A 15,202-nucleotide genomic window follows, 5' to 3' on the forward strand; every position below is an offset into this window, starting at 1 on the left:
AAACCAATCGAATAAAAATTAATTCTCCAGGATATATTTGGGGAGATTTAATAAATGTGCTATAAAACACAATGTGATGTTTTTTGACAAAAGGGTTTGCATTTAATGTAAAATACACTTGACTTTTTTTTCTCTTTCTCTCTCTCTGCTCTTTTAAGAGTTCATTTTTATAAATAGAAACCACAATATTACAACCAGGTTAAACATAATTTTCATACATAATTTAATCAACAGAGATGTTCCTAGCTCTACTATACACAAATATCCCTATAAAAGATACAGGTACAGATACATGGATGGATAGATTGATAGAGAAGTTCACACACAAGCGATTGTCACATATATATGGACTGTTCTTGATTGTTTTAAGAGGACAGGCAACCACTAGCTTGTTGTTAAAAAGAGTATTAAAAATAGAGCAGTTCAGCAGAATGCAGGCCATCCATATGAATTCTGTTTGTTTGTTTTGGGTTGAATGTTTCTCCTGCTCATGCAGAAAACACTTTGGAAGCGGCCCAGTTTAAGGCAGTCAGAATCACTGTTAATCTCCAAGGGGAGAAGAAGGCCCCTCTCACAGTGAATTAAGAAGGTTATACAGAGTGTCATATTTACAGGAGGAATCACATCCCAGTCAAATTCTCAGTATAGGACCTGATTTATCCCAAAATTCTTAAGCACCATGTTTTTCCAGAGAATTAGAAGTTGAAGACAAGATGCATCCCAGCTGCCTGTCAGATGGAAGGGGAGATAGAAGGGGAATTGCCACTCCCCATGTAATAGTCCCACTACTGAGTCCTGGCAGAGATACCACAAGCCTCTCTTCTTCCCATTAAGTTGCTCTGCTTATGACAACATTAAGTTGTTGTCACTGGCAGGCCTTAGGAATGAACCCTCAGTCCCAGCAAGAATAATTAAGGAGCCACGGAAGATTGATGCCGTCCTCTCCTTCAGAAAAGAAGAAGCTCAGACAAATGAATTTTTGCATCTCTCTTTGGCTTCCTTCCAATCACCATAGCAAAAGCCAATCCCTTTCTCAGTAAAACAGGGTAGATAGGAAACCACCGAAGAGCAATGCATGGATCCACGTACAAAGTACTCTGCTTTTTCTCCTTTCAGAAACAAATATGTATTGGGCACTTAACTATGTGTAGGCCTTCAGAATGCACAGCTGAATAAGAGACTGGTCCCTACCCTCAAAGGGCTTAAAGCCCACTAGCAGAAGACAATCACATGAGCAACTAAACAGGCAGCTTCACTCCACATCTGAGACCGTGGCACACGTCCTCAATGCTCTGGAAGCTTGTGGAGCTTTTAAAAAACTCAGTGGGCTTGGAAGTGGAGGAATCTGCCAGGGAAAGAAACCCTATTCGGAAGACTGGATACATTGGTTTATTCGACTTTAAATCACTACACAGATGGAAAAAGAGTCACAGTTAACATTTATTGAGTGTTTACCACATGCCAAGCACTAGTCTAATGACTTTATGTGTATTTTCCTACTTAATCCACAGTACGAATCCACTTCTTCTGTGTGTGTGGTTTTTTTTTTTTCTCTTCAATACAAATATAAGCTTCTTGTACACAGGGGCTTTGTTTTGCTTGCTACTTTATCTCCCAACCCCCAGAACAGTGTCTAGCCTAGGATATTACTCATAAAAGCAGCTCAATGAATGAATGAAGCTGCTCATATTATCTCTACTTTGCAACTGCAGAAACCAAAGCTTAGGCAGTAAATGTCACTTGCTCCAGTACACTCAGCAAATAAATGTCAGAGATGGAATTTCAACTCAGACCACTGGACACCCCCGACCTACCCATCCTTTGCTCTGTACAGCAACCTGCTACATTTCCCTGACAGTCTTTGAGAGGCTGTGGTTAGGATTCAGCAAGAGGGGAGAAAGAGTTGAAAGGGAATATTTAGTCTGAGGTTGATTTCTTCTTTGAGCTCCTTGCCTTGTGCAGACCTGCAGCCAGGACTCACGCTCAGGAGACTGCCTGGCGTTTCACAGTAAAGCAGTTGGTAACACATCATGGCGGAATTCAGTCCTGCAGGTAACACTGCCCCCTCCCAGCTTTGTGAACTTAGCAACTTATTCTACCTTCCCCAGCCTGTCTACTTATTTAGAACCTGAGGATAACAATAACAACAACAATAGTTACTATCTGGCAGCACAGATCTGAGGACTAAATAAATTAGTAGGTATAAAGTGCTCCTCAAAGGGAGTGCAGATCAATAAAATCTTCAGGAGATAAAATCTGCAGGAGAGCACCCCAAAGACAGTGAAGATCAATAAAATGCCCTTTCCCTGCCTCTGTCTACCATCTTTAATATCATATCTAGGGCAGGAGGCATTCCACTTTATAAAGAACTGCACTGAAAATGAACTTTATGGCCAGATGTGGTGGTTCATGCCTGTAATCCCAGCACTTTGGGAGGCCTAGGTGGATAGATCACCTGAGGGTCAGGAGTTCGAGACCAGCCTGACCAACATGGTGAAACCCACACTCTGCTAAAAATAGAAAACTCAGTGGAATAGAAAATAGAAAACTAAATGGAATAGAAAATAGAAAAATTGGCCAGCCAGGCGTGGTGGTGGGCACATGTAATCCCAGTTACTCAGGAGACTGAGGCAGGAGAATAACTTGAACCTGTGAGGCAGAGGTAGCAGTGAGCCAAGATCACCCCACTGCACTCCAGTCTGGGTGACAGAGTGAGACCTGGTCTCAAAAAAAAAATGAACTTTATAAAATAGTCTGTTTATAAATCAGCACTTTTCCCTATCACTTCAACCATTAGCAACCCTTTTCCCTGGCAACAGCATCTGTCTATAACACTGTTAAAAATCTGAATGAAAATGTATTACTTCTCATTTGCTTTGCTCATTATTCAGAGGCCCAGTGACGGGATCCCCTCTGTATTAATTCATTCTCACACTGCTATGAAGATATACCCAAGACTGGGTAATTTATAAAGGAAAGAGGTTTAATTGACTCACAGTTCAGCATGGCTGGGGAGGCCTCAGGAAATTTACAATCATGGTGGAAGGGGAGGAGAGGAATGAATGCCCAGTGAAGGGGGAAACCCCTTATAAAACCATCAGATCTCGTGAGAACTAACGCACTATCACGAGAACAAGATAAGGGAAACCACCCCCATGATTCAATTATCTCCACCTTGTCCCTCCCATGACACATGGGGATTATGGGAACTATAACTCAAGATGAGATTTGGGTGGGGACACAGCCAAACCATATCATCCTCTATTTTCTGATAATCTAACTCTTGGTCTCTGACACTTCTGCTGGAAAATGAACCAGTGAAAGGCAAAAAAGTCAATAGAAATGCTGGCTGATCTGAGGTCACCGGGAGAAAAGAAAGTACTCAAGTTACAATGAGGTTCGAGGAATGTCTATGAGCAGTGTTACAGGTTCCACAGGGCCTACATACATACGTGAGTTTTGGCAGAAGTTGAAAGAGACATAATGATCCAAGAATGAGAAATGTCATATGATTCAAACTAGCTTCAGTGGAACATGGGATGAATCAACGTCTCAGGAAATTTCAGAAGAGGTCTGCTGGGAGAATGGGCACATTAGGTAACACCACACACACACACACACACACACACACACACACACACACACACACGTAATTGGTTTTGGTCACAAATCTTGAAAGAACATCCTCGAAATAAAAATGTAACCTTTAAGTTCATAGTGCCAGGCATATAATAGGTAGATAAGATAATATTTTTGTTTGGCTGATAGAACACATTAATAGATAGATGGATGGAATAAATTTCTTATCGTGGCATCACAAACTCAGCTCGGGAAATCACTTTACAAAGTTGTCCGGAGAACTTGATTGTGGACCCTACTTTGTCTGTTGGTCAATAATTTTAAACGCATAAAAATGACATTCTGTGTATTTAAATTGTAATTTTCAATCTCCCCCCATATGTAAACACGTACACACACACACACACACACACACACACACACACACAGAGTTTTTGAATTAGTCTTTAGTTATGACAGAACAAATGTTTATTTAGGAAAGGAATAAAAGTAATAGAGATTTAAGACAAAAATTACTAAGTGTTGGGTATAGGCCATTCTTGTGTTGGCTGTATATGAAGGAAGCTTATTATGGAAAGAGCACATGTTTGAGGGCCCAGGGTTAATGTTAGTATCGTAATCCAGAATTTTCTAAGTGCTGTACATGTATTGAACCATTTTATATTCACAACTACCCTAATTGCTACCAAGGGGCAGAGCAGGCAGCCTTATAGAGAACTTATGTCCTTAACTTCTATGTTATACTGACTTGCACATATGATTTCTGCCTCTTAATAGCTGGATGACCTCAGTCAACACATCTAATTTCTTTGCGTCTGTTTGCTTGTTGGGTAAGTGGGAATAATAATCTCGGTGTGCTGTGAGGACTAAACAGAAACTGCCCGGCATATAGTAGTTGTTCAATATGTGTCAACTATTATTATTTATCATTATCTCATTTAACCCTTAAGATATTCATAGAGAATCTAAAATTCAAAAAAGGTAAGCTACTCAATAAAGGTTAGAAAGCAAGAAAGTGATGAAGCTAAAGTTCACGTAGCAAGTCTGCCTAACTCCAATACATGCTTTTTTGTAAATAATTTTACTTAAAAAGTTATTTCCCACTTTGGGTTGAAGACCAAAAATGCTTTACAAGAGTTAGAGGAAGAGGTCAGCATTGACTAGAGGAAATTTCCCCCTCCAACCTTTCGGAGTTCATACCCTTTTTCCCACCTTCACATGGTTTTCCTGATAATAAATCTTTTGGAACACTTCTTGCTTCCATTCTGTTGTCTGGTGTAGTTCCTGGGATCAGTTAGGCAATTTTGTAGAAGTAATGTGGATAATAAAGAGATTAGGAGTTTAGGGAGTGGCTGAAATACAGCTAAGACCTCTGCTGAGCCAAATAGAAGTCTCTGGCAGAAGATCTAACAACTCTACTGGTAGACACTCAGTTCTTGGTGACACAGCTACCTTATGAGTTATGGACAATCACTACAAAAAAAAAAAAAAATCATTCCCTCCATTTTCCAAGGTTTAATTGTCAGTCATCTAGAATGGTATGGACCCTGCAACACAGACTCTAGCTTGGCCACATGTGAGGAAGAAAAAGAGACCATGGTCATTTGAAAGAAAAGATACTAATTAAAATTCTGCAGCTTTATGTACAGGCTAGCAGTTCCACCTGCTGACCGTAAACTTAGAGCCAACATCATTGGAGAAATGATGCGGAAGTACCACAAAAATGGCCCATTCTCCTTTTGGACCTGGCAATGTGGCCAAGTTCAGCAAGACGGCCAGCAGGAGGCTGTGTGAGTTAAGCTATAAGCCGTTTTGATGAAGGATCCCATAGAGCAGCTCACTAAATCCAGTTTCCGCTAAAGTTTAGAGGCAAAGCAGGGTGCAGCTGATCACTCTTACTCCACACACATAATCATCACACGTTAAACTAACTTGGAGATTAACCAGGAGGTGCATTGAGACTGACCAGTCTCATCTTTGCCCAAAAGATAAAGATCAACCTTTTGGGACTTCCAAGTAAATGGTATAGCACACGCTCTTAAAACACAACCACAAGTCTGACATCTTGTTCCCAGGTGTATTGGGTGGCACGCACATCTGGGACTGGCAGATATAAGAGATACAACATTTTGTGCATCTAAGCTAAAAGAGAGTCTATCCAGAGAAAAAACATTCTTACCACACCAGAAAGGAGCCAGCATATGCAGGACCCTGGAGTTGGCCTCCCAGCAATGTGTTGAGCCAAGGGACCTCCAGCAGCTCACGTGTCAGGGTTAAGGGCTCCTTCTCAACTCTTTGTGCCTCCCTGCCTTTGCATATGTCATTCTTTTGACCTACAATGTCCAGCAAATGCCAAGATGCAGTTTGTGGACCCCTCTTTCACTGTCTCCTGTACTAGGAAATCTTGACAACTATAATCCCAATAGAGCGTATATGAAATTATCATGGAATCATCACCTTGTAATACACATTTTCCTAAAGTATGCTCCAGCAGACTACGTTACTTAAGGATAGGGAATGGACATTATGTATCTATGCATCCTCAGCAGGATTCTCCTATAAATTAGTACCCAATAATGGAGTAGAAAAATGGACTAAACAGATGATAAGGCCCTACCCACACGGCGAGTAAGATTCTTTCTCTAAAAATGTAGGAATCTTAAAATCTAACCTCAGTGGCTAGGGGCCAAGACAGTGTTCGAGAGAAGTCTTCTCTCTGTCACATCACTGTTATCTCATCTCACAATAATGGAATGCCCCAGGCATGCATGTCAGGAGTTCATATGGAGGCAGAAATTTAAATAAATTATCTCACACCTACACTGCCACGCTTTTGAGCCACCTTTGGAGTATTATACATCTCAGTGAAATGTTGGTTAAGGTTGCTGGTAGTACATGAATGCACTTGACTGGCTGTCATTAATCAAGACAAATTTTACTTTATTAATTTTAAAAATAGAGAACAAAAGAGAATATGATGAAGACTCATGGGCCCATTACCCGGAATTAACAATTATTGCAATATTATTGCATTTTCCTTTTCTAAAGTAATTAAATGTTACAAATATAAATAAATGTTCTGGGTCACCATATCCTACTCTGTTTTTCTCTCTCCTCTCTCAGACCTCCATAAATAACTGTCTCATGAAAACCATATGGATCTTCCTAGCCCATCTTTTATATTAATATACATGCATGATTCCACTCATATACAGTCCTATTTTGTTTTTAATATTTTATTTACATGATAGGATACATTATGTTTTCTTCCTTAACTGTGATTTGTTTAAATTTAACATTGTGTTTGAAGACCTATCCAATTTATATATACACATATATATGTGTGCATTTATATATATACACATATATGTCTATATATAAATGTATGTATGTGTGTGTATATATATACACACACATATATGTGTGTGTGTGTGTGTGTGTGTGTGTGTGTGTGTGTATATATTTTTTTTTTTTTGAGACAGAATCTCGCTCTGTCACCGAGGCTGGAGTGCAATGGCGCAATCTTGGCTCACTGCAACCTCCACCTCCTGTGTTCAAGCGATTCTCCTGCCTCAGCCACGCGAGTAGCTGGGATTATAGGCGCCCACCACCACGCCCAGCTAATTTTTGTATTTTTAGTAGAGACAGGGTTTCACCATGTTGGTCAAGCTGGTCCTGAACTCCTGACTTCAGGTGATCCACCTGCCTCGGCCTCCCAAAGTGCTGGGATTACAGGCATGAGCGTGCTTGGCCCCAATTTATATATTGGGGTCTCTCTTTCCTTATATAAGCTACATACTAATGCACTGAATAGATATGCGGTAATACATTTTATTTAAACATTTTGCTACTAATAATCTCAGATAGTTCCTAATTTTTTGGTCATCCCAACAATGCTGCCATAAATGTCTCTGTAGTTTCCTTTTGTGTTTATATGTAAGAATTTCTCTCAGGCACATGCCTAAAGTGGATATGCCTAGACATAGGGTTTGTACCTGTCTATATTTTGGTCCTTTCATTAGGAGGTCCCTGTACTTTCATATTAAAAGCATCTGCATCTGGTCTGATTGATGCATGGGTAGAGATTCAAAGAGTACTGTTAAGCAGTATATTTCCAAGTGGGTTCTAGTAGCAAGAGCAGCTTAATGACAAAAACAGAGACTAGCTCTGCTGGGAGAAGGATGAATATCTAGAAGTCCAAAAAAGATGCAAAAATGGAGTAACACTACTAATAATACTCCAACTTTGCCGATCATTCTTTTAAAAGAGGAGTGTATATTAAGGCCTTCATTAACCAAAAGGAGGATTATTTCTTGACACAAGCATAGGAAAGAAAGCAAACGTAGGTTTTCCATGCCACTCCACAATGACTCATGGATCAGGAGGACTGAGTACCAAATGCCCGAACTCATGTGTAGATTGAGCTCTGTTGCACACTGCCACAGGGCTTCTGATCTGGGACACGTGTTTTCCCAACAGACAGCTACTTCCAATTCTTGCTGTTGTTTAGTATCTGAACTGTGTGTGGCGAGTGTTTAGTGAATATTAATAAGTAAAAAGTGAATTCTTTTCCCCAAAGCTAGAAAGTAACAATAGCATACAGCAGCCTCCAGGTAAATAAAGATGAAATTAACTCAGCCTGAACACAGACAGGGGAAGTGGTTGTTGACAATTCTTCCATATTTTAATTAGGAAAAAATATCATCAAAGCTTCTTTATTCTAAACAATCCCCTATATGCATTTGTGCTATTACAGTCCTTAGTCCTTTTGTCCCATCTCACAGGTGAACCCAAATTTCACCAGCAGCCTAATCATATATCAGGATGAGACACACAGTCATGTCAAATAGCAGAAGAGAGTCTTAATTATGTTTAAAAATCTACAGAAGCATTTTGCTTCCATCCTAGATTCTCTCCTGTTCCCAACCCTATCCCTCTTCACCAAAAACAGGATCCCGGTGCCAGGGCTGCCCCTCGGCATCTTTAACTTAAGCACTGACAGGTTACGTGGGATTTTTGCCAGAGTAATTATTTTTCAATTCAACAATAATGAGAAATTACCATGGCAACCACTTGTCATGTGGTACACATACACCCCCTCCAAAGAATGAACCATACTTAAAGCATCTATTCCTTGAAAATGTGTTTTTTTTTTATTAAAATAAACTTAAACAGGTCAAAGTGGAGAGCATTCTGAAGGGGTCTGAAAGATGGGAGATGGGAGGGCATTGACTTTCTTCAGTATCTTGTGGTTCTAGAAAAAAATGAGAATGTCTCATCTTATAACCCTACTCTCTTGTACACACACATTTAAATAACACTATTAATTTGTATCTTACTATTTTAGTCACTCCTGTTTTACATGCATCAGCTAACCTTTCTCAGAAGATACTGAAGAAAGGATAAATTTGCCTGAAATGACCGAGGCAGAAACACACTTGCTACACTTGCTCTGCCTACATTTCTTTTTCTGCCATATCCAGATATTAAGAAAGAAGACAAAAAAAAAATCCCAAATCTCATGCCTTCTGCCTTTCTGTTACCTAGAGTCCCTCTCACACTGTAGGAAGCTCAGGTCATTTGTTTTCCAAGACTGTAACTGTGTTTTTGATTCCTTAATCACAAGCCACCCTTTCTCCAAAACCAAGGGTCTATCTCGAACCATGTTTATTTTGAATCAGCCTCCCTTAATAATAATAGTCAACAGTTACAAGGCACTTATTGTATGCCAGTCACCCTTCTGAACTCATTGCACATTATAAACCCCTTAAAACCTCACCATGACCCTATAATATAAGTAGCATTATTAACCCCATCTTATAGATGAGAAAACTGAGGCACTGAGGAGTTAGATATTTGCTTAACATGACACAGCTATCAAATTGCCACGAAAGAGTTCAACCCCAAGGACTCTGGCTACTGGCTAGCAAGTTTAGACTCATGACTGCTCCATTATGATGTTCCTTTATTCAAAACAATATCTCTAAAATATCTGTCTTCTTAGTTGTTTCAACATCCAGTCAAGGCCAAGTGCACTGAACGTTTGGGTCTCTCTCTGGAACAGGCAGCCCAAAGCAAGGATTTCCATCACACCTATGGAATTCGGCTTGAAGACACACAAATAAAAGTAATAAGGTAAGACCATTTGCCCTTGCCAGCTGGTAGCTGCACAAGCATGAAAAGGATGCAGAGAGGGAATTTTAAATCTCCCCTTTTTTACTTATTTTTATGGGATTCTTTTTATTTTTTATTTTTATTTTTTTTTGAGATGGAGTTTCCCTCTTGTTGCCCAGGCTGGAGTGCAGTAGCACAGTCTCGGCTCACTGCAACCTCCGCCCCTTGGGTTCAAGCGATTCTCCTGCCTCAGGCTCCCGAGTAGCTGGGATTACAGGAGCCCACCACCATGCCCAGCTAATTTTTGTATTTTTAGTAGAAACGGGTTTCACCATGTTGACTAGGCTTCTCTCGAACTCCTGACCTCAGGTGATCCACCCGCCTCAGCCTCCCAAAGTGCTGGGATTACAGGTGTGAGCCACTGTGCCCAGCCCTATGGGATTTTTTTTTTTTTTTTCTTAAACAACTCATGTTCTAGAGACTGAATTTTTCTTCTCTAATTCTCAACTGTGATTTGCTCATTCTCAGCTAAATTGCATTTTATTTAACTGTAAGCATTAGTTATTATTTTAACTGAATTATAAAACGGCATACTACCAACATAGCAAATTGTGTGTTTTGAGAGAGCATCTCGGTGTTTCACTCACAAATCAAGCCCTCCCTTTTAGAAGGTGCTCACTATAGTTCCCTGTCTAGTGCCTGTGGATGCTGCCTTGAGAAAGTCGCATATTAAAATGTGCAGAAAGACAAGACTTGGTATCCAGTAGACACAGCTCTTCAGTAGAAGTTACATCAGTGGTTTTCCCCCCAAAGACCTGAGAAATTCATGTATTTGAATCTCCAGCTTTGATCCACAAAATCAGTAATTAATTCTGAGCAGTCCAAACAGAAATGTTAGTTAGAATAACTAAAAGCAATGACTCAAATGCCTCAGTGTGTATGTGCCAACAATTGAGCTTTTTTTGCTACCAGACTTATTACAAGTGTGATGAAATAATTTTTTTTTGAAGTTGGGATTCCTGTCAGCTTTTTGAGGGCAACATCTTACCCATGTCTGGTGTGTTTTACATGCACAGTATCTAACACATGGCAGGAAGACAACAAATAATTGCTCCATTATTTAATTATTTAAATCACTTAATTCAACAAATAAATATTTATTTAACTAAAACCCAGCATATTCTCAAAACCCAGAAGAAAACCAGCACTTTTAATTTTATGATAATTGAACACTGCCACTCTCTGCTCTATTTACATGTTTGTGAAACAGGGGCTTTGATTCTTTGATGACTGAATCAGTGAAAATGCACAGAGTTTCAAAATGTAGTATTTTCTAGTCCTCACAGGCTCTCTATCAAGTTGGTAATTTTCTTATCCCAATGTCAGTGGGGAAACTGAGGCCCCAAGCGGTTAAGAAATGTACCCAAGGTTACAAATCAAATAAGCGGCAACATTGGAATTTGCATCCTCTCTGACTCATAAATTTTTATTTCCATCCACAAAGCTTTACTCGCTGCCTGTTGCAATCTCTACTCTATACTATTCTAGTATGAAAGAGGATTGGTTGTTTTTTAATAACTAAATTTCCTATTTTATACTCAAACATGGAGACATGTACTCTCACAATCAAAAAGAATATACTGGGAACCCTATGCAAAGCCACTTTGAAAATGACGTGGAAAGGCATTACTCTAGAAGCACAGGTTTTGTTCATGACAGCTCTGTGGCAGTGAGCACCGCGCATCGTATTACATCACACCATCTAGGTGTGAGAGGTCCCGAGATGCAGGATAATGTCATGAGGCAGCAAGTCGTATATCTTGAGAAAAGTTCACTGTAAAATCAGGCACAAATTTTCCATTCCAACATAAACACAGCAGACAAGGGAATGTTTCTGGAAAAGCTTGCAAGATTCAAAATCTTGTTTCTGTGACCCACCCTATTGCATTTGAATAGTTGATCAAATGACAAGAATAATTCTTCAAGTCACCACTAAACATTGGAGGACTGTGCCAGGACCAAGGCCACAGGAAACCACTAGATAAGAAAACTCAAGATTTTCTCTCTTCCTACTTGGAAAAAATGAAAAAAAAATTTTTGTTCACAAAGACAAATATAAGAAACCCAGAATATTCTTGAAACCTAGAAAAAAATAATGTTTTTCTTGATGATGGTCAATCATTTCTATTCTCTTCTCTGTTTACAAATCTGTTTACCAGGGGACTTGAATTCTCTCTGTCAGTGACACCCAAGTACATATTACAGCTCCAAACTTCTCCCTGGGACTTCAGAATTGTGACTCTAACTGCCTCACTCACCTCTCCACTTCTTAACCAAAGAGGCATCTCAGGCTTAACATGGCCAAAGCCAGATATCTCCCCCAACTCCATCCCCTACAAGCCAATTCTTCTCATTCTCTTCCATCTCCATAATATAATTCCAGTTTCTCAGTCACTTAGGCCAGCATTTGAGAACATACTCTTGATTCCTGTCTTACCCTAACTCCACACCTCCAATCTGTCAGCAAATCCCATGAACTTACCTCCAACACATGAATGGAAATCCACCCATGTTTCTTTCCTTCCACTGCCACCCCTTCTCTGTGCCTCCAGTAACTTCAGCCTGGACAACAATGACTTTTTCCTAACTCATCTCTCAGCCCCCACTCCTGTTCCCCTGTAACCTGTGCTCTGCAAAGAAGCCTGGAGGATCTTTTAACAATACCCATTAGATTGTGACCCTCCCAGCTAAAACTTTTCTATGGTTCGTCATTGCTGTGTAGGGAGCTCACTCTCCTGTGTGGATGGGACTTTCTCTTCTTCTTTGCTGTTGGTTCACTGCACTCTCAGCACAGCCCGCAGATCTAGGTTCTTACCTTGGGGACCTTCCTTCGGGCCCAGGGCTGCACTCCACTACACCACAGGGCCCTTTGAACCAGCTGCGTCCACCACCAGTGGATGCCTTTCCTCTCTTTGGTGTGGTTTTCTCTTTCTCCTCATTCAAATCTCAGCATCCTTGTCATCTTTGGGTCATCCAATCTACAGAAGCCTACTTGCTATCACATCAGTCTATATTTTTCCTTGATCATTCAATTTTGTTTGTTTGTCTTCTTACATACAAAAAATTGTGTTCATTGGGAATATAAGATCCTATTGCCTGCTTTGCTCTGAAGCCTGGCATATAATAGGTGGTTAAAAATGACTGCCTGAATAAATGAATACAAAAAATGTGTTAGACAAACTACCAAAGACAAAAGATAAATCTATCAAGGAGACACATTAATCTCCCTCTTGAACTCCCACAGGGCAGCCATACCAAGGTTCAGAGCTGGCACAGCCCAGCTGATTACAACCACATCATAGAGTACCAGGAACTTTCCAGAATCTTTATTCACTTTAATGTTTTAAATAAATATATGCTGTGAATTAAAAGCATTAAGAAATATTCATGCCCTTTGACTCAGTAATTCTATTTCTGGGACTCCATCCAAAGGACATAATCCAAAAATATGTAAATGCTTTATACGAAAAATTGCTCACCATAGGAGCACTCATAATAGAAAAAAACACACACACAAAAAACTAGGAACAATGTGTTTGCCCTACAATAGAGAAATGATTCAAGAAACTGATATGTCCACCGGAAAGAAAACAGAAATCTTTAAAATATAATGTTCACACATGGTTTAAAATAACACAAGCACATTCTTACATGATAATATAAAGTGAAGGAAATAGGCAGACAAACAGAACAGTGGGACAGAATGGAGAACCAAGACACAGACAGAAGCCTGTGTGGAAAATAAGTATCTGGTAGATACGGCATTGCCGGGTAGTGAGGTTGAGAAGAATTATTTGATGAGGAGTGTGGAGACAATTGGCTTTTCACCCGCAAATAATAAATAAATTAGGTTATAGCTCACATAACCAAACGTAAGTTCTGGAGGAAGTAAACATGTAAATAAAGAAAGCCAAAACCTACCAGAAGAAAAGGTAGGAGGATATCTGTCTTTATGACGTCTGAAGAGGAGAAAATGCTATAAGCCGTCAGTCCCCAACCTTTTTGGCACCAGGGACTGGTTTCGTGGAAGACAGGTTTTTCACGGACACTCTGGGGGACGGTTTCAGGATGATTCAAGTGCATTACATTCACTGTGCACTTTATTTCTACTATTATTACATTCTAATATATAATTAAATAATTATACAACTCACCATAATGTAGAATCAGTGGGAGCCCTGAGCTTGTTTTCCTGCAATTAGACAATCCCATTGGCATATGATGGGAGACAGCGACGGATCATCAGGCATTAGATTCTCATGAGAAGCGTGCAACCTCGATCCCTCGCATGCACAGTTCACAATAGGGTTTGTGCTCCTATGGGAATCTAATGCCACCAGTGATCTGACAGGAGGTGCAGCTCAGGCAGTAATGTGAGTGATGGGGGAGCGGCTGTAAATACAGATGAAGCTTCATTCACTGACCTGTCACACCTCCTGATGCACAGACCAGTTCCTGTTAGGAACCCGTACTCCCCTCCATTTCTACAGTTGCAATATTTCTTTTTTCATATTCCTTTCTTTTTTTAGAGAGACAGGGTCTTACTCTGTCACCCAGGCTAGAGTGCAGTGGTGTGGTCATAGCTCTCTACAGCCTCGAACTCCTGGACGCGAGGGATTCTCCCATCTCAGCCTCAAGAGTAACTAGTCAGGCCAGGCACGGTGGATCATGCCTGTAATCCCAGCACTTTGGGAGGCCAAGAAAGGTGGATCACGAGGTCAGGAGTTCAAGACCATCCTGGCCAACACGGTGAAACCCCATCTCTACTAAAAATACAAAAAAAATAGCTGGGCGTGCTGGCGCATGCCTATAATCCCAGCTACTCGGGGGGCTGAGGCAGGAGAATTGCTTGAACCAGGGAGGCAGAGGTTGCAGTGAGCCAAGATCACGCCATTGCACTCCAGCCTGGCAACAGAGTGAGACTCCGTCTCAAAAAAAAAAAAAAAAAAAAAAAAGGGTAACTAGTCCGATGCAATGCCCTCATTCCACGCATTCTCCCACACTTTCTCAACCATCCCTTGTTCATTCCTCAAGGCTTCCATCCTGTCCTGCCTTGATCCTAACGCCTCTCACACCTTCCAACCTGCAGAAAAGTCTTTATTTTCTAGACTGAGATATGCGTTTTTTTAAAAAATTAATGGGAACCTCATGGTGACTATTCCTGTAATATTATGTTTTTATTTTATTTTACATTATGCCCAGTTCTTATCCTTTTATGTCCCAGCAATTAGACTGTGCACTGCATGGATGGAGTCACCATCTTCTTTGGGTTGTTTTCTGTATTCTTGTTGCTTACCTGGCACTTACTGATTGTGTAATTATGAGCCAAACAACGTGCATTATCTAAGTCAAGCCTTTGAAAGACACTATCAGAGAGGTGAATTATTATCCTTATTTTACAGGTGAAGAAAACCAAAGCTCAGAAAGGTTACTTAATTTTCTCAGAGTC

The 15,202-nt window shown here is 40.3% G+C and overlaps 1 protein-coding gene across 22 annotated transcripts in view; it reads right to left on the reverse strand.

Moving 5' to 3' along the window:
- LDB2 (LIM domain binding 2) overlaps positions 1-15,202 on the reverse strand; it is a 397,105-nt gene that overhangs the window by 257,929 nt on the left and 123,974 nt on the right. Inside the window, exon 2 of one of the 22 annotated variants that reach the window (XM_017008818.2) lies at positions 13,908-14,145. The exons of the other annotated variants lie outside the window; for them this stretch is intronic. Within the exon in view, the coding sequence (XP_016864307.1) occupies positions 13,908-13,910 (3 nt within the window). The 5' untranslated portion in view covers positions 13,911-14,145. The remainder of the gene's footprint in view (positions 1-13,907; positions 14,146-15,202) is intronic. 22 annotated transcript variants of the gene reach the window in all.

The sequence above is a fragment of the Homo sapiens genome, chromosome 4 (assembly GCF_000001405.40).
Source record: "Homo sapiens chromosome 4, GRCh38.p14 Primary Assembly".
In the NCBI taxonomy this organism is placed as follows: Eukaryota; Metazoa; Chordata; class Mammalia; order Primates; family Hominidae; genus Homo; species Homo sapiens.